At 35.3% G+C, this 26,457-nt stretch overlaps 1 protein-coding gene across 30 annotated transcripts in view; it reads right to left on the reverse strand.

Moving 5' to 3' along the window:
* RBM41 (RNA binding motif protein 41) overlaps nt 1-26,457 on the reverse strand; it is a 66,721-nt gene that overhangs the window by 16,207 nt on the left and 24,057 nt on the right. For 11 of the 30 annotated variants that reach the window (NM_001394122.1, NM_001171080.2, NM_001394120.1 and 8 more), the window contains 2 exons: nt 20,128-20,531; nt 947-1,094 (listed from right to left, as the gene is read on the reverse strand). In NM_001394122.1, coding sequence (NP_001381051.1) covers nt 947-1,094; nt 20,128-20,531 — 552 coding nt within the window. Of the gene's footprint in view, nt 1-946; nt 2,118-20,127; nt 20,583-26,457 lie in introns of those variants that run through there. The other 19 variants (NR_136728.2, NR_136729.2, NR_136732.1 and 16 more) reach the window with 8 other exon arrangements.

The following is a 26,457-nucleotide window of genomic DNA, read 5'->3' on the forward strand; positions in this document are numbered from 1 at the left end:
TAGACTAAACCAATTTTGTTTCATATATATAAGTACTACAAATTTTTTTAAGTGTATAGCTTTCAAGATTAGTAAAACAGCTACACATTTTAAAGTACTTGCTTTAAAAAGCCTTTTTATTATGTATTTTTTCAACTAATACATCGTATTATGTGGGGCACCCATAAACGGTTTTTTAAATTTAAAAGGGGTTCTTACACTTGAAAAGACTGAAAACCACTGGTATAGCGGATTTAAAAACCTTCAGTATGATAGGAAAGATGATACAAGACTGTATGAAAACAATGGAGGGGAGTTTGGCAGTATTCATGTGTAAAACCACTTGCCCACATATAGATTAATAGGCTATTTAGAAATGACGATACTTTAGGGACAATGAAAGGTACAGATCCTACAAAGCCTTCCCCCAAAACAACATATTATCTGGTCTGTCATAGAAACTGAAATTTGCATATTATTCTTCCAGTTGGATTAGAAGCTATGCATTAATTAATATGCAAATAATATTTAGAAGACTGTATCATCATCTACTAATTATGAATTAGTAATAAATTAGTATATTAGCTTGCTCTCACTTAGTCCTAAAGGAACAGCGCATAAGCCAAGTACATGTGTTCTGATCAGAATACTAATACATTAATTAATGAGTAATCTAATTATAACTTGGACTAGAAATACTATTGTCAGTGAAGGGAGTACAGATTTTGGTAGGGTAAGAAGGAAGTACCAAGACTGGGAAAAACTGAGGACACTGGGGTAGTGTGGCCATGCACTGTCAATGGAGGAGAGGAAACAGAAAGAAACACTGAAAACATATTTTTCGTTCATTGTCTTGTTCTCACATGCTGTGGAGAAATCAAAGGACTATATCTAAATTAGAGAGGTTATAGGTAATCTCTAGCGAACTGAGGGGCAACTGAGTAATCATCTGGATGAAACTACTTACTGGGAAAGGTGATAAAAGCCTGGCCCCTCATTCGTCCAGTCATCATTCGGAATTGAATTGGAGGTCCTTTTTTCTCCTGGAACCGAGCGAACAATGACACAAGATCTCTTTCAGTCACCCGAGGGCTAAGGTTCTTCAGGTATAATACCTAAAACAAATTGAGGATCAACCAAAATATCATATAAAGGAGGTAAGGCACTCTTTGTTTTTTTCTTTTTGAGACAAAGTCTCACTCTGTCACCCAGGCTGGAGTGCAGTGGCGCAATCTCTGCTCACTGCAACCTTGGCCTCCCAGGCTCAAGTGATTCTCATGCCTCAGCCTCCCGAGTAGCTGGGATTACAGTCATGTGCCACCACACCTGGCTAATTTTTGTATTTTTAGTAGACGTGGGGTTTCACCATGTTGTCCAGGCTGGTCTTGAACTCCCAAACTCAGGTGATCCACCCGCCTTGGCCTCCCAAAATGCTGGGATTACAGGCGTGAGACACCATGCTCAGCCGTAAGAAAACTCTTTCATTATGATTAGAATTAGTTTCACATAAAAATGGTGGATTGAACACATTCATTTAATTTCATTCCATCCAGAAAACTCTCTAAAACTATAGGCACTTAAAAAAAAAAAAAAAAAAACACAAATCAACAAGGTCAGGAGGAACAAGAAAAGGAGACAACAGCAATAATAATCTGGAAGATGAAAAATAATTGGATGAGCAGGAACCAACTCAGCACACTGAAGAAAGCTGAATTTTAAACTGGTAGTGGAGAGAGCCAAGAACACACCTGTCACCACTTAAGAATCCTTAAATAGTTCAGGAACTGATAATTTCACTTACCTTCAGAAATAAATGTGAAGGGATGGGGTTAAAATAAGGCAAATCAGTTGAAGGCTGTCTAAAAGCCAATATGATTTTTAAATACCCTCCCTCACAATATGCTATGGGGTAAAAGATAACTTGCCAATCCTGGTAGAAAACTTGAGGCTCATTGTCAGAAGATGGGGAATGCCATACATGGCTGAAGATGTGAACACTGTTTCTGAAAGCAAGGAAACTAAGAGAATACTAAATGTTGAGGTCCTCCCAGTCCTTTTCTGCCATTTGGCTCCTAGAACGCTGGTAGTACCCTCGTAAGAAAGATTTTGGAAGTCTTCTCTGGGAAAACTGGTAAGTCCTAGGAGGAAAGATATAAAAATACTGACTTGGGATGAGGAATTTCTCTAACAAATGACCCAGCCAGACCACTTTAAAGTGAAGCTCAAAGTCAACAAGTGCCATTTGTGTGCTCAGAGATTCCAATCTGCTTTTTAGTTCCTACTTATAAAGTTGGGCATGGATTATCAGGCATCTTAGGAACTCCTCTAATGTGAAAGAGAGAACACAACAAACATAAAGAAAAGAAAGGAAATAGGAAAAAACTTCAACAAACCATAACTAATATCCTCAGGAAAATAAGAGAAATTATTCTACCTATTAGGCGGCACGGGAGGGTAGGTGCGGTGGCTCACTCCTGTAATCCCAGTGCTTTGGGAGGCTGAGATGAGAGGATCGCTTGAGTCCAGGAGTTTGAGATCAGTCTGGGCAACACAGTGAGACCCTGTCTCTGCAAAAGAGACAGGGTGGCATGTGCTACTTGTGAGCAAACAGCATGCACCACCACAACTGGCCAATTTTACAAGTCCCAGCTATTTGGGAGGCTGAGGCAGGAGGATTACTGGAGCTCAGGAGTTTGAGGCTGTAGTGAACTATGATCACACTACACCACCACACTCCAGCCTGGGCAACAGAGTGAGACCCTGTCTCAAAAAAAAAAAAAAATTCAACAGAACAAAAATGAGCTCTTATATGTGATTGAACGTAAGATGTTATCAGCTTAAAACAGATTGTTTTACCATGCCCTATACCTATAAAAGATAAACAGAGAAAAATGGGAAAGATATCAAAGTATATCACTACAAAAAAAAAAAAAAACCCAATGAACCACAAAGGAAGACGGCAGAGAGGGAGAGACAAAAGAGCTACAACAGAGACAGAAAACAATTAACAAATGGCAATAGTAAGTCCTTTGCTAGCAATAATTACATTAAATATTAATAAACTCCCCAAGAGACAGAGTACCTGAATGGATAAACAAAATCCAACTATATGCTAGCTATTCTATGAGGCCAGGATTACCCTGAGACCAACCTAGACAAAAACATTATAAGAAAAATACAGACCAATATCCTTAATAAACAGATGTAAAAATCCTCAACAAAATATTACCAAACCAAATTCAACAGCACATTAAAAAGCTCATACACCTTGACTAAGGGAGATTTATCCCTGGGATGCAAGGATGATTCAACATACAAAAATTGATCAATGTAATACAACACATTAACAGAACAAAATATAAAAATTACATGATTATCTCAACAGTTGCAGACAAAGCATTTGACAAAATTCAACACTGTTTCATGATGAAGACACTCAACTACTAATAGAAGGAATTTACCTCAACATAATAAAGGCCATATATGTAAAGTCCACAGCTATAATATTCAGTATTAAAAAACTGAAAGCTTTTCCTCTAAGATCAGGAACAAGGCATGGATACCTACTCTCACTTCTATTCAACATAGTACTGGAAGTTCTAGCCATAGCAAATAGGCAAGAAACAGAAATAAAATGCATCCAAATCAGAAAGAAAGAAGTAAAATTATCTCTGTTCACAGTTGAAATGATCATCCATGTAGAAAACGCTAAAGACTCAACAACAACAAAAAATTAGACATCAGTAGAATGGGGAAAAGCTGAAAGCTTTTCCTCTAAGAACTGGCAAAAGACAACAATGCTCACTCTCACCACTCTTATTCAACACAGTAGTGAAAGTCTTAGCCAGAGCAATTAGACAAAGGAAAGACATAAAAGGCATCCAAAGCAAAAAGGAGGAAGTCAAATTGTCCCTGTTTGCAGACAACATGATCTTATATAGAGAAAAACCTAAAAAAAAACCTGAAAGAGTCTACCAAAAAGCCCTTAGAACAGATACACAAATTCCATACAGTTGCAGGATACAAAATCAACACACAAAAATCAGTAGCGTTTCTACACACGAACAGCAAACTAGCTGAAAAAGAAATCAAGAAAGCAATCTCATTTACAATAGCTACAAAAAGCAAAATAAAATACCTAGAAATAAATTAACCAAGGAGGTAAAAGGCCTCTACAAGAAAAACTACAAAACACTGATGAAAGAAAAGTTTAGAGGATACAAACAGAAAGATATTCCATGCTCATGGACTGAAAGAACATTGTTAAAATGACCATACTATCCAAAGCAACCTACAGAATTAATGCAATCCCTATCAAAATACCAATGACACTCTTCATAGAAAAAGAAAAAAAATCTTAAAATTTTTATGAAACCACAAAAGACTCTGAAGCCACAGCAATCCTGAACAAAAATAACAAAGCTGGAGGAACTGCACTACCAGACTTCAAAATGTACTACAAAACTGTAGTAACCAAAACAGCATGGTACTGACATAAAAAGAGACACATGTAACTGTGGAACAGAATAGGGAACTCAGAAACTGACCCATGTATCTACAGCCAACTAATATTTTAATAAAGACACCAAGAACATCAGTTGGGAAAAGACAGTCTCGTCAATAAGTGGTGCTGAGAAAACTGGATACCTATATGCATGAAGAATGAAACCAGACCCCCATCTCTCATCCTATACAAAAATCAACTCAAAACAGATCAAAGACCTAAACGTAAGACCGGAAACTAAAAAACTACTAGGAAAAAACATAGGGGAAACATTTCAGGACACTGGTCTGGGAAAAGATTTCATGAATAAGACCTCAAAAGCACAGGCAACGAAAGCAAAAATAAACAAACGGGATTATATTAAACTAAAATCTTCTGCACATCAAAGGAAACAACAGAGTGAAAAGACGAACTACAGAATGGGAGAAAATATTTGCAAACTACTCACCCAACAGGGGATTAATATCCAGACTATACAAGGAATTCAACATCTTAACAGCATCAAAACAAACAACCTGATTTAAAAATGGGCAAATGATCTAAACAGCTATTTCTCTAAAGAAGACATACAAATTGCCAACAAATATATGAAAAAATACTCAACATCACTAATCATCAGGAAAATGCAAATCAAAACCACAATGAGGCATCATCTCATTCCAGTTAGGATGGCTACTACTGGAAAGACAAAAGTTAACAAATGCTGGTGAGGATGTGGAGAAAAGCAAATTATTACAGACTGTTGGTGGGACTGTAAACTTTTACAGCCACTATGGGAAACAGTACGGAGGTTCCTCAACAAACTACAAATAGAACTACCATACGATCCAGCAATCCCACTACTGAGAATTTATCCAAAGGAAAGGAAATCAGTATATTGAAAAGACAATGGCATTCTCATATTTATTGCAGCACTATTCACAACAGCCAAGATATGAAGTTAACCTAGGTGCCCAACGATGTGGTATATATACACAGTGGAATACTATTCAGCCATAAAAATATTGAAATCCTGTTATTCAGAGCAATGTGGATGGAACTAGAGAATATTATGTTTAGTGAAATAAACCAGGCACAGAAAGTTAAACACTGCAGGTTTTTACTTATATGTGGGAGCTAAAAAGAATTGATTTCATAGAAGTAAAAAGTAGAACAGAGGATACTAGAGGCTGTGAAGGGTAGGAGGAAGGAAAGGATAGGGAGAGACTTGTTAAAGATGTAAAATTACAGTTTGATAAGAGGAATAGGTGCTAGTGTTCTATACCATTGTAGAATGGTTATAGTTAACAATAATATATTATATAGTATCAAATAGCTAGAAGAAGGATATTGAATTATCCCAACATGAAGAAATGATAAATACTTAAGATAGTAGATAAGCTAATTACCTTGATCTGTTCACTATATATTATATGTATCGAAACATCAGTATGTACCCCATAAATATGTATAATTTATTATATGTCAATTAAAAAACTTTAAAAAGAAAATAAATAAAATAATAAATCAAGGTTCACAAGTGCAGCAATCAAGACATCGATTTTTCTCCCTTGGGTACTTTGCAGCTGAGACAAGCTGCTACCTGGTGAATGGTGGTACCATGTTTATTTGGCCCACAGTTCAAATAGCTTTCATGGAAGACCTCTTGAGAACATCACTTTTCTGTTTTAATTATACCATTTTATTATTGGCATGAAATTATGACTATATTAATGGAAATAATAGAAAAAAATTAAACCAAAAAAGTTAGAACTAATTAACAAATTCAGTGAAGTTGCAGAATAAAAAATCAACATAGAAAAATTCAGTTGTGGTTTCTATACACTACCAATGAACAATATGAAGAGGAAATTAAGAAAGGTATCCCATTTACAACGGTATTGAAAAGAATAAAATACTGAAGAAAGAACTTAACCAAGGAGGTGAAAGACTTGTACACTGAAAACTACAAATGTTGCTGAAAGAAATTAAAGAAGACACAAATAAATGAAAAGGTATCCTGTGTTCATGGATTAGAAGACTTAATATTAATATATCCGAACTATCCAAAGCGGTCTACAGATTCAATGCAATCTCTATCAAAGTCCCAATGGCATTTTTTACAGAAATAGAAAAAACAATCCCCAAATTCATATAGAACCACAGATGATACCAAGTACCCACAACAATCTTGGGAAAGAACAAAGCTAGAGGCCATACACTTTCTTATTTCACAACATATTACAAAGCTACAGTAATCAAAACAGTATGGTACTGGCATAAAACTGGACACATAGGCCAATGGAACCAATTTGAGAGTCTAGAAATAAACCCATGAAGCTACAGTCAACTGATCTTCTACAAGTGTCCCAAGAATATAACATGAGAAAAAGATAGTCTCTTTAACAAAATGTTGAGAAGACAAGACAGCCACATGCTAAATAATGAAATTGGACCCTTATCTTACGCCATACACACAAGTCAATTCAAAATGGATTAAAGATTTAAATATACGACCTGAGACTGTAAAACTCCTAGAAGAAAACATAGAGGAAAACCTTCTTCACATTAGTCTTGGCAATGATTTCTTTGCTATGACACCAAAACCACATGCAACAAAAGCAGAAATAGATAAGTGGGACTGCATCAAACTAAAAAGCCCTGCACAGCAAAGGAAACAATAGAGTGAAAAGGCAACCTATGGAGTAACAGAAAATATTTGCAAACCATATTTAATATCTAAAATATATAAGGAACTCTACAACTTGATGGCAAGAAAACAACCTCATTAAAATATGGGCAAAAGACTTAAACAGACATTTCTCCAAAGAGATATAAATAGCCAACAGGTATATGAAAAGATGCTCAATATTACTATCAACAGAGAAACGCAAATGAAAAACACAATGAGATACCACATACCTGTTACAATGGCCATTATCAAAAAAAACAGAAAATTACAAATGTTGGCAAGGATATGAAGAAGTTGGAACCCTTGTGCACTGTTGATGGGAATGTAAAGTGGTACAGCTGCTATGAAGTACAGTGTGGAAGTTCCTCCGAAAATTAAAATTAGAACTACCATACAATCCAACAATCCCATTTCTGGGTATTTATCCAAAAGAGCTGAAATCAGCATCTCAAAGAGATATATGCATTCCTATGTTCATCCCGGCAATACTCACAATAGTCAACAGGTGGAAAAACCTAAGTGTCCACTGACTGATGAATAGATAAAGAATATGTGGCATATAAATACAATGGGGGCTGGGTGTGGTGGCTCACGCCTGTAATCTCAGCATTTTGGGAGGCTGAAGCAGGCAGATCATGAGGTCAGGAGTTTGAGACCAGCCTGGCCAACATAGTGAAACCCCATCTCTACTAAAAATGCAAAAAATTAGCTGGGTGCGTTGGTGGGTGCCTGTAATCCCAGCTACATGGGAGGCTGTGACAGGAGAATTACTTGAACCTGGGAGGTAGAGGTTGTAGTGAACCGAGATCGCACCACTGTATTCCAGCTCAGACGACAGTGCCAGACTCCGTCTCAAATAAATAAATAAATAAATAAATAAATAAATAAATAAATAAATAAATAAAATACAATGGAATATTATTTAGCCTTAAAAAAGCAGGAAATCTTATATGTCATTATGCTGTAACATGAATGAAACTCGAGGACTATAGGCTAAGTGAAATAAGCCAGTTGCAGGACAAATATTGCATGATTCCACTTACTGAAGTATCTAAAGTAGTAAAACAGAAAGTAGAATGGTAGTCACCAGGGCTGGGGGAAGGAGGAAATGGGGAGTTGCTGTTCGACAGGTATAAAGTTTCAGTCATGCAAGATAGAAAAGTTCTATAGGTTTGCTGTACAACATTGTGCTTATTATTCACAATATTGTATTGTACACTTAAAAATTTGTTAAGAGGATAGATCTTGTGTTTTTAAAACACAATTTAAAAAAATGGAGGAGGAAAAAAATCTCATACATTACCTAGCATTAGTTATATCCTTTATAGCTTAAAGGAACTATGGAAGAATTCAGGCAGGAGCAGCAAAAGCAAAGAACAAGCAAATATACCTCTTAAATGACTTAAGTGCTAAAAGGTATAAATAAATAAATATTGTTAACAAGTAGTAGAATCTTTAAGTTTCAAAATCTTTAAAACCTGGATATTAACATATTTAGCATTTATGTATGTTCATATCTTAAAGGCAAGGGCATGGAATAATTGACTTGCCTATGCTCTCAAATACTAATCATGAAAATATCAAATTAAATAACCATAGAAAGGGGTATGTGAAAACAAACTTCGAGTTTCTCATCCATTAGGGAAGACCCATACTAAGACTGTTCCCTTTGATATGAATTTTTTTGAGACAGAGTTTCGCTCTTGTTGCCCAAGCTGGAGTGCAATGGTGTGATCTCGGCTCACTGCAACCACCACCTCCCAGGTTCAAGCGATTCTCCTGCCACAGCCTCCCCAGTAGCTGGGATTGCAGGTGCATGCCACCACGCCCAGCTAATTTTTTATATTTTTAGTAGAAATGGGGTTTCACCATGTTAGCCAGGCTGGTCTCGAATTCCTGACCTCAGGTGATCCACCCGCCTCGGCCTCCCAAAGTGCTGGGATTACAGACGTGAGCCACCGCACCTGGCCAATATGAATAATTTTTAAAAATAAAGAGGACTTCTGGTTGAGGTGGCTCTGTCAGGGGATGCTGGGATACATCCCCTCTGCATATATACACACGTAAGTGCAGACTTGTATGTATGTATGAATGTATCCACAACATACATAACACACACACACACACACACACACACACACACACACAGATAAAGCTAGGTTCAAAAACAAGATAAACAAAGCTGTGAAAAAGAAAAACAGTGCCTCCAAGTCATAATACAGCATAAAGCTCTTCCTGGTATCCCTATGCAATACACGGTATTATTTTACATGTTTTCAACTTCATGTAATATAGCCCTTTATATAAACAATATGCATTCTTCTACAGCTACATTTTTAAAAACTCTTTAAAAATGGATTTTAATTTTAGAACAGTTTTGGATTTATAGAAAAATTGAGAATACAGAGAACTCCCATCTACCCCATGGTTTTCCCTGTTATTAATATCTTACATTAATGTAATGTAATGTAACCTCACATTAATATGTTGTTACAATTAATGAAGCAGTATTGATACATTATTATTAACTAAAGTCCACAGTTTAGATTTCCTTAGTTTTTACCTAATGTCCTTTTTCTGTTCTAGGATCTAGGTTACATTACATTTAGACTGGGATTATGGATTATTGGGAAGAAAACCACACAGGAGAAGTACAGTTTTGATCACATAATGTTAAGCATACACACAATCAATATGATTCATCAATATGATTAACAACTATTGGTGTTGGCCTTAATCACCTGGCTTAGGTAGTTTGTCAGGTTTCTTCTTGAAAAGTTACTCTTTTTTCCTGCTTTCTCTTCCTGTACTCTTTTGGAAAGAAGTCATTATGAGCAGCTCAAAACTAAGGAATGGGGAGTTATGCTCTCCCTCCCTGAGGCAGAGTATCTACATAAGTTGTATGAAATTCTTTTTCATGGGAGGTGTATATTTCTTTTCCTCTATATATTTGTTTACTCAATCACTTATTTATATCACCTGGACTCATGGATGTTTATTCTATACATTGGATTATCCAACATTATTTTAGTTTGTTGCACAAATTGTTCCAGCTATAGTCATTGGAAGCTCTTTCATTTGGCTCCTGTATTCCTTTGCAATACCAATGTCAAAAAACAACATAAAATCATGTCAAAGAACAATAAAATAATGATTTTAAGATAATGATTTATTTTATCTTAGTTTGTTGCACAAGTTGTTCTGGCTTTAGTCATTGAAAGCTCTTTCATTTGGCTCCTGTATTCCTTTGAAATATCCCCAATGTCAAAAAACATAAAATCATCATGTCGAAGAACAATAAAATGATTTAAGATAATGATTTATTTTATTTTATTTAGTTTGTTGCACAAATTGTTCTGGCTTTAGTCATAGGAAGCTCTTTCATTTGGCTCCTGTATTCCTTTGAAATACCCCGAATGTCAAAAAAAAAAACATAAAATCATCATGTCAAAGAACAATAAAATAATGATTTTATATTGTTCTTTTTAGCACTTCCTTACTTTCTGGCACTACAAGATGCACAAGGCTCATCTTGTATATTTCCTGCCCCAGTATTAGAAGCAGCCATTTCTCTAAGGAGCCCTGGTTCATTTTATTAGAAAATGGTATTAGAAACCAAGATAAGGATGCTGTGCAAGCTCATTGCTACTGGTGTGTCCTTTCATTTGGGTCCTTTCATCTCACAGAATAAAAAATATGTATTTATACTAATCCATGTATATATAAACACATATAAATATTTCTATATGTAAACACTTATATCTATATTAAGTTAAACATGAGTTCATCCTGATGTCTCCAACTGTAAACCATTATCACATGGATCATTTCAGCTTCCTCCCTTTACTTATCTGTAGATTGCAACAGTGAGAAACCTGGCCCCCGCCATCTGCCATACATTTACTTAATTGTTCCATTCCATTATGCATGTATAAGAGTATCAGAATTGTTACTCCCTAAGTAACCAGTACCTGCCATGGGAAATAACCTTATCAATAAGGGTACCGTGCTTATGTGAAGTTCCATTTGCTTTTAGTCTTTCAGACTCCACATATTTCCAAAGATGCTTAGTTCAGCATCTTTTCCCCCATCCCTTCGATGAGGTTGTTTTACAGTTAGACTCTCTTCTCACTGTCTGCATTCTTTCCTAGGGTCTCTCAACCTCCTAAATGAGTTTTTAACATTTGCATACATTAAGTGTCACTCTTTGTGCTATGTAGTTTAATGGTTTTTGACAAATGCATGTCTTGCCTCTACAACTACAGTATTATACAGAATAATTTTACCGCCCTAAAGATTCCCTGTGTTTCATGTATTTCTCCCTTCTCCATTTCCCTCAAACCCTTGGCAGTCATTTATCATCTGTCTATAGTTTTCCCTCTTCCAGAATGTCATATAATGAAATCATACAATATGCAGTCTTTCCATACTAGCTTCTTTCAGCTATTAATATATATCTAAAGTTCCTCTATGTCTTTTTGTGGCTGGACATGCATTTCTTTTTATTGCTGAATTATATTCCATTGTATAGATCTGCCACAGGTGAATGTATCCATTAACCTATTGGAGGACATCTTGACTGCTTCCGGTTTTTGGCAATTATGAATAAAGCTACTATGAACATTCACATGGCACTTTTTGTTGAACACAGGCTTTTCAAATCAACTGGGTAAATAAGTAGGAATGCAGTAGTTGGACTGTGTGGTAAAATAATGTTCAGCTTTGTAAGAGGTGGCCAACCTGTCTTCCAAAGAGGTTGTATTACCACCAGCAATGAATAAAAGTCCCAGACTTCATGACTGTGAAATATATCCATAAAAAAAAAAAAAACTGCAGCCGGGCATGGTAGCTCATGCCTGTAATCCCAGCACTATGGGAGGCCGAGGCAAGCAAATCACTTGAGGTCAGGAGTTTGAGACCAGCCTGGCCAATATGGCGAAACCCCATCTCTACTAAAAATACAAAACTAGCTGGGCGTGGTGGCTCGCACCTGTAGTCCCAGCTACTTGGGAAGTTGAAGTAGGAGAATTGCTTGAACCAGGGAGGCAGAGGTTGCAGTGAGCTGAGACTGCACCACTGCACTCCAGTCTGGGTGACAGAGAGCGAGACTCTGCCTCAAAACACGAAACAAAACAAAACAAAACAAAACAAAACAAAACTGCACTTGTATCTTCTACATCTATAATTTTTAAAAAAGTACCTGTTGCTCTGCTTCCTGAACAGAATTTGGTATTGTCAGTTTTATTGTGGACTTTAGCGATTCGAGTAGGTGTGTAGTGGCACTTCTCATTTTTCAATTCTCTGATGACAAATAAAGATGAGCTTCTTTTCGTATGCTTATTTGCCATGTATATATCTTCTGTGGTGACGTGTTTGTTCTTATTTTTTACCCATTTTTTAAATTGAGTTTTTTAATACTGTTGAATTTTGGGAATTCTTTGTGTATTTTGGATACAAGTTTTTTATTAGACGTGAGTTTTGCAAATATTTTTCTAGTCTGTGGCTTGTCTTTTGATTCTCTTAAAAGTGTTTTTCATATAGCAGAAGTTTATAATGTTAATAAAGTCTGACTTACCAATTGTTCCTTACATATATTGTACTTTTGGTGATATATCTGATAAATACATCATCAAACACAAGGTCACTTAGATTTTAATCTTTTTCTTCTAGAAGTTTTATCGTATTGTGCTTTATATTTAGGTCTATGACCATTACGAGTTAATTTTTATGAAGGATGTAAGGTTTGTATCTAGATTCATTTTTTTTTTACATGTGGCTATTCAGTTGTTCTAGCACCATTTGTTGAAAAGACTATTCTTTCTCTACTAAACTGTCCTTGATCCCTTGTCAAGTATCAATTTACTGTATTTATGTGGGTCTAATCCTTGGGTCTCTATTCTACTCCATTGATCTGTATGTCTTCTTTTCCCTCAGCAACACCACACCATGCTACTTGATTATAGTAACTCTTGAAGTTGGGTAGTGTCAGTCCTTCAAATTTGTTCTTCTTCAGGAGTGTGTTACATGTTCTGGGTCTTTTGTCTTTTCATATAAACTTAGATTAAGTTCCTAAATATCCACAAAATAACATTCTGGGATTTCATTGGGATTGTGTGGAATCTACAAATCAATTTGAGAAGAACTGATATCTTAACAATATTAAGTCTTTCAATCCAAGAACACAAAATGTCTCTGTGTTTATTTAGATCTTATTTAATTTTTCATCAGTTTTACACTTTTGTGCATATAGAACCTGTACATACTTTGTTAAATTTATACCTAAGTATTTCATTCTTTTTTGGTGCTATTGTAAATGGTGTTGTTTTTAATTTCAAATTCCAATTGTTCATTTCTGGTATAGAGGAAAGCAATTGACTTTTGTGGATAAACCTTGTAACCTCCAAGCTATACTAATCTACTAGTCCCAAGAGTTGTTTGTTAGTTTGTTTTTTGGCTGATTCTTTGGGATTTTCTACACAGACATACGTGTTACTTGTGAACAAAGAGAGTTTTATTTTTTCCTTCCCAATCTGTATACTTTTAATTTCCTTCACTTGTTTTATTGCTGTAGCTGGTACTTCTAGTACAGTGTCAAAAAGAAGTGGGGAAAGGGGACATTTTTGCCTTATTTCTCATCAAAGGGGAAAGCATCCAGTTTCTGTTAAGTATAATGTTAGCTGTAGGGTGTTGCAGATATTCTTTATCAAGTTAAGGATGTTATAGTCTATTCCTAGTTTGCTGAGAGTTTTTATCATGAATCGATGTTAAGATATTTCAAATGTTTTTCTACATCAATTGAAGTGACCATATGATTTTACTTCTTTAGTCTATTGATGTGGCAGATTATATTAATTGAATTTCAAATGTTGAACCTATGGTGGATATCTGGAATAAATCATACTTGATCATAGTATATAATTATTTTTATACATTATTGAATTTGATTACCTAACATTTTGATTTCTCAATCAATATTTCAATCAAATGTTTTGATTTTCCTAACATAGAGGATTTTTGCTTCTATACACGAGGGATACTGTCTGTAGTTTTTTGTCATTGTAATGTCTTTATCTGGTTTTGGTACTAAGCTAAGGCTGGTCTCATGAGTTAAGAAGTGTTCCCTCTGCTTCCGTTTTCTGAAAAAAGACTGTAAAAAATGAGTATTATTTTATATGCTTCCATTTTCACCCTTCTCTTAGCCATATCAGTTGTACTTCTTTATATAATTTTTTTTTAGTAATTGCCTTAGAGTTTGCAATATACATTTACAACTGATCTAAGTCCACTCTCAGATAAAACTATACCACTTTATGGATAGTGCAAATACCTTATAACAAAGACAAATTTGTATTTATATATATACACTAATTCCTGCAACCTATTCCTTATAATATCACTGTTACTCATTTCACTTATCCATATACTATCATTATCCAACACATTCCTATTATTAATTTGAAAAGTTTTATTCTAGATTGTTTTAAAATGAGAAAATAAAAGATTTCATTTTACCTTAATGCATTCTCCTACGCTCTTTCTTTCTTTATGCAGATCTGAGTTTCTGACCTATATAATTTTGCTTATCTCTGGAGAACTTTTTTTGAAAGCATTTTTTTTTTTCCCTACAAGGTGGGATTTACTGGTGAAAAAATTCCCTCAGTTTTGTTTGTCTGAGAAAGTCTTTATTATTTTTCCTTCACTTTTGAAGGATTTTTTTTTTTTTGCTGGATAAATTATTCTAAGTGGGTGTTTTCTTTTTACTTTTGACACAAATATTTCACACTACTCTCTTGCACAGTTGCTGATGAGAAATGTAATTCTTACCTTTGTTTCTATATAGGTAAAGTGTTTATTTTCTCTGGCTGTTTTTAAAATCTTTTCTTTGTCTTTCTGTAGTTTGAACATGATACGCTTAGGTGTAGTTCTGGTATTTATCCTGCTTGGTGTTCTTGGAGCTTCCCAGATCTGTAGTTTGTTATCTGCTATTAATTTTGGAAAATTCTCATCCATTACTACTTCAAATATTTCTTCTCCTTCTTTTTCTCTTCTCCTTTTGGTATTCCAATAACATGTATGTTATACTCTGAAATCGTCCCATAGTTCTTGGATATTCTGTTCCTTTTTTTCAGTCTTTTTTTCCTTTGTATTTCAGCATGGGAAGTTTTTATTGCCATGTCTTCAACCTTACTGATTCCTTCCTTGGCTGTTTCCAACTTACTGATGAGCCTATCAAAGGCATTCTTCATTTGTTACAGTGTTTTTGATTTCTAGCAACTCCTTTTGATTCTTTCTTAGAGTTTCTCTCTGTTTAGATTAGCCATCTGGTCTTGCATGTTATCTACTTTTATTCATAGCCTACTTAGTATATTAATCGTGGTTATTTTAAATTCCATATCTGATAATTCCAAAACCTGAATTTGGTTCTCACGCTTGTTTTGCCTCTTCAGAATGTGTGTTTTTTTTTTTTTTAGCATACGTTATAATTTCTTTTGTTGAAAACTGGACATGATCTATCAAGTAATAGGAACTAATCCAAAGAGACCATTAGTATGAGGTTTTATGTTAATCTGGCCAGGAGTTGGGCTGTGCTTAATGTTTGATGTAGCTGTAGGTGTCAGAAGTTTCTGTTTCTTCTACTGTCTTTTTGTCTCCCTTGTTTCCTTTGGATTTACAAAAAAAAAAAAAAACAAATCAAAACAAAACAGCAACAAAAAAACCTCCTTAAATAGAGTCTGATCCTTGCAGGTCTTTCAGCTATAATCCACGATTATTATACTGAAGCTCTGTTGATGTAGTAGCAAGGTGTGGAAGGGGAGGCATTCTCTAATCCTATGATGAAGTCTCAATCTTTTAGTGTGCCTGTGTCTCCAGCCTGTAACCTTCACAAGCACTTCACAGCTTTTTTTCTCTCTTAGATGAGACAGGAAGGCTAGAAGAGCCTGGAGTTGGATAAGGCTTTGGTAAAGTTGTTTTCCTTGCTGGGTAGCCCTTTACTAAGTAGAAAGTTCTAGATACACTTAAAAATGATGTTTCCTCTCTCCATGCCAGAAACAAGAGATTTTTTTTTCTTCGGTCTTTACCTTGAAACTTGTGGGGTTCCTGGAAGCAATCAAAACCTCTAAGACTGTGGGCCCCCAGTTTTGTCATTCCTACACTAGTCTACACTCTGACGCCAGCAATTTGTCAAAGTTACCACCTAAGTGTTTCTACCAGTTTATGGCTCCAGTGCGTTTTGCTCCTGATAAGCAAATCTGGGATGTGATTTTCTGTAACTGCCCGTTTCTTCAGATTTCAAGATTACAGTTTGCCCTGTGACTTAAATTTTCTGTTGTGTCTAAGAAAAGTCATTGATTTTTAGTTTGCTCAACTGTTTTTCTTATTGTAAGACAGGAGTGATGACTTCTAAGGACTTCACATGTTGAAGCTGAAACTAGAAATCTGCAACTAGCTATTTTTGTTCAAAATTATGTTTGTGAGTTTCATCCAAATTGATACCTATAATTCTATTTTATTCATTTTCTCTACTGTGTAGTATTCTATTTTATAAACATACCATGTTTTATCTATACTCCTGCTGATGAACAATGCCACAACAAGCATCATTATAACATCTCCTAATGTGGATGTCTAAGGGTTTCTCTAGGATAGATAATGAAGAGTGAGACTGCTGACTTACAGTGTATGAAGATCTTCAATTTTACTAGACATTGCCATAATGTTCTTGGAAGTGGTTGTATTCATTTATATTCCCCTGGAGGTATATTAGAATTCTTATTGTTTTTCTTTTTTTTCTTTTTCTTTTTTTTTTTTTTTTGAGACAGAGTCTCGCTCTGTCACCCAGGCTGGAGTGTTGGAGTGCAGTGGCATGATCTTGGGTCACTGCAACCTCCACCTCCTGGGTTCAAGAGATTCTCATGCCTCAGCCTCCTGAGCAGCTGCGATTACAAGTGTGTGCCATCAAACTCGGCTAATTTTTAGTATTTTTAGTAGAGACGGGGTTTTGCCACATTGGCCAGGCTGGTCTCGAACTCCTGACCTCAGGTGATCTGCTGGCCTCGGCCTCCCAAAGTGCTGAGGTTACATAGAGTTCTTATTGTTTCGTATGTTCACCAATACTTGGCATTGTCAGGCCTTTAAATATATGCCAGCATTCTAAGTACTAAATGTATATATCATAGTATAGATTTATTTTGCATTTTATTGATTACTAATGAGATTTCTTAAGTCTATAGGCCACTGGTGTTTTTGCCTCTGTGAACTGCCTGTTATGTCTGTTTTTATAAACACTTTTATTTTTATTGTGTTGTTTGTATTTTTCTTATTGATTTGTAGGGAAGGATCTCCTTAAAATGATTCAAAAAGCACAAACCATTGAATAAAATACCGATAATCTGATAACATTAAAATGAAAGACTTTTGCTCAACAAAAGACATCAGGAACAAAGTTAAAAGGTAAGTCATCCACTGGGCAAAGATATTTGCTAAACAACAGAAAGGATTCATATGCAGAATTTTAAAATAATCCCTATAAATAAATATGAAAAAACAAACGATTAAATATTCAGCAAAGGAATGTAACAGGTAACTCACAGAAAGTTCCTGAAAGGCCAATAAATGTTAAGAATACATGCATAACCTCACTGGAAATCAGAAACATGCAAATTAAAACAATGAGATAACTTTTCAAGCTGATTAGGCTGGCAAAATAATACTCCAAAGTTTTGGCAAGAATGTGAAGAGGATCTCTGAAACCCTGTTACATTAGAAATTGAGATATACATACCCTATATATCACAGTAATTCCACTCCCAGGTATATAACCTAGAATGATGATTCTTAAATTGTTACTCTCGACCAGCAGGATCAGAATCTCTTGGGAACTTGTTGGAAATGCAAATTCTCAGGCCCCACTCCAGATCTACTGAGTCAAAATTTCTGGGGGTGGAGTCTAGCAATCTGTGTTTTAACAAGCCCCCCAGGCAATTCAGATGCACACTAACATTTGAGACACTGTAATAGAATGACACCTTCCCAACACTTTTGATTGAGATCTACACGAAGAACTGCATTCTTCAATGTGGCCCCACACACATTATGTCACATATACACAAACACATATAAAAAAAAAGCTTTAAGAAACAGTAATTACCCTAACATACTGTAGGGAACACTTTTTGATATTTTCTATTCTATTCCATTTCATTAAAAAAATCCCATTGGTTGTAACCTACTAATTGTAATCTAAGTTTGAAAAACACTGTCCTAGAAAAAGTCTGGCATATGTGCAACAAGAGGTGTATGATAATACTTGTTGCAGAATTAACTGTAATAGCAAAATAACAGAAAGAACAAATCTTCAGGAAAGTGGATAAATATAACAAATGATGGTCTATTTCTACAATGGAATACTATATAGTTCCTTGTATCTTTAGAAATAAATTTCAAAAGCATTATGCATATTGAGTCAAAAAGGTTGTAGAATGATAGAGTATGTCATCTATATAGTTTTAAAACATATAAAACTATATGTTATTTGTGAATATATGGCTATGTAGTAAAAATATAAAAACGTGCACAGGAATTATAAATAGCAAATTCAGGATAGTGGTTACATCTGGAAAGGATAAAGGAGAATGGGATTGGTGAGGAATATGTGGAAGTCTTCAGGAATATCTATAATGCTTTATTATTTTTTTAATTAAGCAAATATGGAAAATATTAGGAATTGATAATGATTAATAAAGGTTGGCTGGCTACACAGGTATTTGCTATATTATTCTATATAACTTTTGGTATATTAATATTTCATAACAAAAAGTAAATAAAAACAAAGCTACCCTTGAACTAATAGTATAAATACCCCCGAACTATTAGAAATTCAATCAGTCAAACAAACTGTTTTAATATCCCTCATCTAGAATGATTTTTTTTTAATTCAGAGACAGTCAAAAACTAACATAATAATTTTGGTTTTGTTTTTTAAATTAGACACAACAAAGTATATGCTCCAGGGGTTTGTGTTGTCTCTTTGAGTAATATAGTAATGAAGAGTTTTCCATTCCAGATGTAACATATAACATGAATGTGAAATAATGATTTGATCAATAAAATAAGAATTATCTACAACGTTATTTAGTTACGTATTGGACAATTTTTTTTGAGACGAAGTCTCGGTTTGTTGCCCAGGCTGGATTTTGCAGTGGCATGATCTCGGCTCACTGCAACCTCCGCCTCCCGGGTTCAAGTGATTCTCCTGCCTCAGCCTCCACAAGCTGGGATTACAGGCACACACCACCGCGCCCAGCTAATTTTTGTATTTTTAGTAGAGATGGGGTTTTACCATGTTGGTCAGGCTGGTCTCGAACTCCTGACCTCGTGATCCGCCTGCCTCAGCCTCCCAAAGTGCTTGGATTACAGGCATGAGCCACCACACCTGGCCTTGTTGGACAATTTCTTAAAGCTTATAGGACCTTTTCACTTTGCTGCTTTGCCAACAGCAATTTAAGTCATATGTCATATGACAGCCAGGTAGAGCATTCTGAAGAGAAGACTCATGTGGTAGCATATACCCAACTCACGACCAGGCAGTCAATTATTGGCTAATTCCAGAGGCACCAAGGCTACCAGCTATGGTGGTCCTATGAACACTATTTGATTATTACACTGTAGGAAATTGGATGTTACTATTCCTTCAATTCGGGGCTTCTAATGGGTATGGACTAGAGTCTTATCAAGATTTCTTTAAAACGCTAAGGATAGTTCAGGACCTTAGCAAAGTACCAAGAACCTTATAGGAAATATGCTACTTATATAGTATGCAGAGAATGAATAGTCAAGGTCAAGGACAAACACAATCACTGTGCCTATATCATGATTCTTTGGTATAATCAAAGCTAATTTAAAAGTATTACTTTAGGTAGAGGTAAATAAAAGCGAAATCAACCCAGGTTGTTTTACTTGGTTTGGCCTATACCTTGTTTGGTTCCCCTGGATTATATGAAGAAAACATAGGAATTTTTCGGATCTCTTCCTCTGACAAACGATTTCTCTGGATTTCATCTTCTGGGACAAATTCTATTGGCTGCGTCAGCTTCTTAGGCCCAGTCCAACACTGCTCAGGTGAAAAATCAATAACATTTGCCACATGGAGACTGGGGCCTTTACCCTGTGCTGCCTGTTTTCCCTTGTCCTGGAGTAATGATGGGCTCTCAGCTGTGCCACTATCACCCACTGATGTAGCTGAGACCAGTGAGTGGGAAGCAAAGGGTTCACCTCTCATAAGTTGAAACTCTTCAAGACGTTTTTTCATTATCATCTCTTGGTAAAAACTTTCCAGGTTGTTCATGGGATCACCTTTGTTCTTCTTTTGGGGTTCATCTGGATCAAGACAAAGAGATAGGGAAGTTCTACAAAGCCTACCAATACAACCTTTGGCAAATTAATAAAAATTAAATCCTGGACCTCAGATAAAGAAACACTGCTGGGGCAGGTCTTTACAACCTGTGACAAATGACAATGGTAAATAGTTATCTTATTATAGTATATTTCAAGCAGAACTATAGGCCAGAACTATGGTGAGGCAAGTGAGGCACCTAGAGTCATGCAAATATATGCACCTCTAATTGATAAGGACATTTAAAAACATATAAGCAATATAGCATTATACTTCACAAAATTAATAATTCCTTAGTATCATCTAATACCAATGTTATGTTCAAATTGTCCTGATTCCATCTAAGATTTTTTTATACTTGTTTATTCAATTCAAAATCTAAACTAGCCTTTGGCTGTTATATCTCTTAAGATACTTTTATTCTAAAACAGTGCCTCGTCTCTCCCATCCCTTTATTTCATTTTCTCACTCATCCATTGATTAAATAAACTACATTTGTTCTATGAACAAATGAATTTGATTAATCATTTTCTGATGGTGTTGTTTAACTTGTTCCTTAATCCCTTCTATTTCTTGGCAGATAATCCATAACTATGCTACCTAATATAGTAGCCACTGGTCACATGTGTCTATTTAAATAAATTTTTAAATATCAGCTCCTCAGCCGAACTTAACAAATTTAAAGTGTTCGACAGTCACATGTGGCTAGTGGATACCATATTGGACAGAACAGATAAAAACTATTACATCATTTTAGAAAGTTGCATTGGACAGTGCTGATCCAGAGGTTTGATTAGGTTCAGGTTCAATATTTTTAGGAAATAATCCTTTATAGACAGATATGTACTTCCTATTGTATCATGTCATAAGACACATAACGTTTGGTGGTCCTATTTTTAGTGATACTGAAATTGATCAGTGGATTGAGGTGGTAGATGGCATTAGTCTCATCCCTCCATTATTAAATTTTCCCATTCACCTTCCACCTAATGGGTTTTTTACATCCACTGATGACCACTGCCTAGTCTATTAATTTATTAAGAGTTGCAAATCATGGCTTTCCTAATTCTTTCTTTTACGCTTATTATCCGTAATTCTAAAATGAACTTACCATCATCAACTATGTGGTTTCCCTAAAAATGTAGATCATATGGGAATGGCAGGATAAATGCTTGATTCTTTGCCATTATTTACCAATTATGAGAGTAAGAGTTGACATCTTAGAAATGTCTAATGGAGGCCGGGCGTGGTGGCTCATGCCTGCAATCCCAGCACTTTGGGAGGCCGAGGCAGGCGGGTCACAAGGTCAGGACTTTGAGACCAGCCTGGCCAATATGGTGAAACCCCATCTCTACTAAAAATACAAAAATTAGCCGGGCATGGTGGCGGGTGCCTGTAGTCCCAGTTACTCGGGAGGCTGAGGCAGGAGAATTGCTTGAACCTGGGAAGCGGAGGTTGCAGTGAGCCGAGATCGCGCCACTGCACTGCAGCCTGGGCGACAGAGTGAGACTCCATCTCAAAACAAAAAAAATGTCCAATGGTGACCAATGGTTATTTTTAGTATAATAATGAAATCGTGTATTTTCATATACTTTATCTGTGTCAATTAAACATACTCATTATTCTTTTTAGTGGCCAAATTATCCCACTTAAGACCAGTGGGAGCCCCTTCAAATCGGCTCCTGTATTGCTTCTCGGCTTTCTGGCACAGCCAAATATCCTAAGCTCATCTTGCATACCTCCTAACTCAAACCTGGAATATTTTTGTAGGGACCCTTGGTTCCTTTTAGTAGGAAGTGGTATTTAGAAACCAAAGTGTGTTGCTGGTGTGTGCAGAAGCAACTTCCAAGTTGTTGTTTCCAGGCCTTTTCAGTGGACAAAAGCTAGGACATTTTTTTTAAAATGATCCACTAGAATGGTTTTATTTTATTTTATTTATTTTTTTTTAAATTTTACTTTAAGTTCTGGGATACATGTGCTGAATATGCAGTTTTGTTACATAGGTATACATGTGCCATGGTGGTTTGCTGCACCTATCAACCCATTATCTAAGTTTTAAGCCCCGCGTGCATTAGGTATTTGTCCTAATGCTCTCCCTCCCCTTTCCCTCCACCCCCCGAAAGGCCCCAGTGTGTGATGTTCCCCTCCCTGTGTCCATGTGTTCTCATTGTTCAACTCCCACTTATGAGTGAGAACATGCGGTGTTTGGTTTTCTGTTCTTGTGTTAGTTTGTTGAGCAAGAGGGACATTTTTAAAGAGAAAAGTAAACCATGAGTTTATATTGGTATTTCCAACTCAAATTTAAGATAACAAGATTTTTACTTAAACTCCTTTATTTTAGAGTGTATCTCCTCTCATATGCTTAATATTAGCAAAATTATTCATTAGCTTCTTCCTACAATATACTTACAGAATTTTACAATGTCAATAACAATACTATCACCAATAAAACTGCTGAATATAGTTTTATATTTCTTTTGCAGTTACTTTTGCCCTTAGAATATGGGTCCCATTGGAAATATACAAATGTTTTAAAGTCACTATAAGTAACTGCTTTGTTTTCCAATTGTGTGTTTATGCTACTAACTTTATTTATCATTAGGCTCATTTGCTTCAGGTTGTTTTTGAATTTTAGGGATTGAATTTTACCTTTTTGATTAAACTTTTAGATGATGCAAAATATTTACATGGATCTAAAGTGAAACTGTTATACAGTACCTTCACAGAAGTCTCACTTCCATCTCTGTCCCCTTTATCCCATTCCCTTCATTCCCCATAAATAATAATTTTTATTAGGTTTTGGCTTATGGTTCCATTGTTTCTTTTTTGAAAATATAAGCAAATAGGCATATATACACATATACATAATTCATTAGTTATACCTCTCTCCTACATAAAAAGTAACTTACTATAAGCACTGTTCTACAATTTACTTTTTTGCACTTAACAATATGTCCTGGAGATAGTTCCATGTTAATGTGTAGAGCTCTTCTCATTCCTTCGTAAAGCTGCACAGTACTCCATTGTGTGGATGTACCATAGTTTATTTAACTATTCCCCTCCTGATACACGTTGGTCTTATATCTAGTCTCATACTGTTATGAATAATGTCCTGATAAACAGCTTTGTGCATACAGGATTTGGTATTTTTCAAGTATATGTTTAAAATAGATTCCCTGAAGTGAAACTGCTGAGACAAAGGGCAAATGTGTATGTAATTTTTCTATGTATTGTTAAATTTCACGCTGTAGGAGTTATACTATTCTATATTTCCACCAGCAAGGCATAGGAGTAGTTATGTAAGTATTTCCTAAGACACAAAAAGCACTAACCATTAAGGAAAAGATTGATAAATTCAACTACATTAAAATTAAGAACTTCTGTTCATCGAGATGTCATAAAGAGATGGACCAAAAAAAAAAAACCCCACAGGATAGGAAAAGATATTTGCTACACAAAGAATTATCAGAGAACTTAAAACTAAAATACATGAATAACTCCTACAAATCAATAAGAAAAAGATGAACAACCATTAGGAAAATGGGCAAAATACTGAAGAGATACCTTACAAAAGAGGAAATACACATAGCTAATAAATATATGTGGGCCAGGCGTGGTGGCTCATGCCTGTAATCCCAGCACTTGGGAGGCTGAGGCAGGAGGAAAGTTCCTTGAGCCCAGGAGTTCAAGACCAGCCTGGGCAACATGGTGATACTCTGTCTCTAAATTAAAAAAAATAATAAAATAAATATATACAAAAGTGCTCAGCCACATTAGAATTCAGGGAAATGCAAATTAGGAAGGGTATAAGATACTAATAGAAAACCAACATATTGGCAAAAATTAAAAAGAATGCCAACATTACATGTCAGTGAAGTTGTAGAGCAACTGGTACCCTCACATATTGCTAGTGGGAATGTGTATACACAGTGCAAATCAACATGACATCATCTACTAATGTTGAAGATATGCTCAACATACAATCCATCAATTCAACTCCCACATATATACCTTAGAAAAATGTAGGCATATATGCACCAGGACACAATAATAAGAATTTTCAGATCATTGCTATTTATAATTGCCCAGAGTTAGCAAAAATACAAATGTTCATCTAAGAAGAATTAATTATAAAATTCTGGTACGTTTATATGATGAAATACTATCATCCAAAGAAAGTGAACAAATTTCAGCTACATATGTCCAAGTGGATGAATAGATTAATAAATACACTAAAAAATAATTAAGGATGCATCAATAAATAAGGATTCCTCCCTTTGTAGAGCTAAGTGAATTACATGGCATGTTAGAAGGTAGGAGTGCTATAAAAAAGAAAAAAAATACAAGATAAGATTGGAAGAGCTATGGGGTGGTTGTAATTTTTAATGTTGGTCTGGATAGGTCCCATTGAGAAGGTGCTATTTGAGTGAAGACCTGAAAAAAGCAAGGGCATCTATCATACTGATATTAGAGTAAGGTCTCAAGGTAGGAGTATGTCTCAAAAAAACTAAAAAAGACTGAAATCATATAAAGTATGTTCTGTAACCACAATGGACATACATTAGTGATCCACTACTGTAAGAAACGGGAAAACACAAATATCTGGAAATTGAACAACAAACTTCTAAATAACCCATGGGTCAAAGAACTCATAAAGGAAATTTAAAAATATTTTGACCTCAATGAAAATGAAAACACAACATATCAAAATTTATGGATGCAGCTAAAACAATGCTGCATCCATATGATAGACAGTTAAAGCTTTAAATGCCTGTATTGGAAAAGAAGAATGGTTTCAAATTTAAAACCTGAGCTTCCAAGTTAGGAAACTAGAAAAAGAGTCAACTAAACAGAAAGCAAGTAGAAGGAAGAAAACAATAAAGATTAAGAAATAAATCAACGCAATAGAAAATGGAAAAATAGAGAAAAATCAACAAAACCAAAAGCTGGTTCTTTGAAAAGTTTAACAAATGACAAACCTTTACCTAGACTGAACAAGAAAGTAAGAGAGAAGACAAAAATGACTAAAATCAATAATTAAAGAGGAAGCATCACTACTAACTTTAGGGAATGAAAAACAATTATTTAGGAATATTATAAATAACTTTAGGCCAACAAATTAGGAAACCTAGATAAATGGACAAATTCATAGAAAGATACAAATTACCAAAGCAGTCTCAAAGAAAAAACGAATAACAAGAGGGTGCATTAGTACTCAATAAACAACCCACAAAGAAAAACCCAGGTCCAAATGGCTTCATTGGTAAATTCTATCAAATACTTAAAGAAATAATACTAATCCTGCAGAAACACTTCAGAAAAGGGAAGAGAAGGAAATACTTTCCAATTCATTCTATGATATCAGTATTACACTGATAACAAAACTAAACAAAGATATTACAAGAAAACCACAGACCAATATTCCTCATGAATATAGATGCAAAAATACCTAATAAAATATTAGCAAGCCTCATCCAGCAACATACAAAATAATCACACACACATAAGTGGGATTTATCCCAGAAATGAAAGATTGGTGTAACATCTAAAAATCAATAGATTAAATCTTAAATCACATGATCATCACAGTAGGTGCAGAAAAAGCATTAAACAAAATCCAATACCCATTTATAATTTTTTAAAAGCTCAATTAACTGACACTAGAAGGGAGCATCTTCAACCTGCTTATGGTAGGCTGAATAATGGCCCCCCAAAGATGTCCACATCCTAATCCCTGGAATCTGTGAAAATGTTAAATTATACTGCAGAGGGGAATTTGCAAATGTGATCATGTTAAGGTTGAGATAGGAAGATGATTCTGGATTATGCAGGTGGGACCAATGCAATCATAAGGGTCCTTATCAGAAGGAAGCAAGAAGGTCAGAGACAGAATGGGAGATGTGATGATGT

The sequence above is a fragment of the Homo sapiens genome, chromosome X, assembly GCF_000001405.40.
Source record: "Homo sapiens chromosome X, GRCh38.p14 Primary Assembly".
Classification (NCBI taxonomy): domain Eukaryota; kingdom Metazoa; phylum Chordata; class Mammalia; order Primates; family Hominidae; genus Homo; species Homo sapiens.